Genomic DNA, 912 nt, shown 5'->3' with positions numbered 1-912 from the left:
CATTCTGTTCCCTCCTTTTGTTTCCAATGGGTGAAAATTTTATTAGACTGGCCTGGATTTAAGGGCTGATTCCTGGGACACACTATTTAATAAAGTTTTAGGTCAGCATTTAAAATGATTTGAATATAATATTAGTAACAGCTAAAGTTTATTGAGCACTCACTGTGAACCAGATACTGTTTTAAATGAGGCAATTGAAATGCCGAGAGTTTCAGTCACTTGCCTAAGCACCCAGCTACTAAATGGAGGGAAGAACCAGGCTTGCATCAGGCAGCCTGATTCCAAAGCTTTGACTCTTAGCCACTACATTATACAAGTGGGCAGGGAAAGAGTCCTTCAAGCATTATTTGTTTACAACAATAAAAAACATCTCTAGTAGGCTGGGCACAGTGGCGCAAGCTTGTAATCCCAGCACTTTGGGAGGCCGAGGTGGGTGGATCATGAGGTCAGGAGTTCGAGACCAGCCTGGCCAACATAGCGAAACCCCATCTCTATTAAAAATACAAAAAATTACCTGGGCCTGGTGGTGGGCACCTGTAATCTGAGCTACTCGGGAGGCTGAGGTAGGAGAATCCCTTGAACCCAGGAGGCAGAGGTTGCAGTGAGCCAAGATCACGCCATTGTACTCCAGCCTGGGCAGCAAGAGCAAAACTGTCTCGAAAAAACAAACAAAAAACTCTAGTGATTTCTTAAGTTGTTTTTGGTAAAATATTACACATACCCAGAAAGGTACAAAAAATATAAATTATATAATGATGAATAATCATAAAGTGAATGTATTCGTCTGCCCAGGCTGCCATATAAAATACCACAGAGTAGGTAGCTTAAATAACAGATATTTATTTCTTGAATTTCTGGAGGCTGAGAAGTCCAAGATCAAGGTGCTGGCCAACTTGGCTTCTGGTGAGGGCT

The sequence above is a fragment of the Homo sapiens genome, chromosome 2, assembly GCF_000001405.40.
Source record: "Homo sapiens chromosome 2, GRCh38.p14 Primary Assembly".
NCBI lineage: Eukaryota > Metazoa > Chordata > Mammalia > Primates > Hominidae > Homo > Homo sapiens.
Note: the sequence above shows the minus strand (reverse complement) of the source record.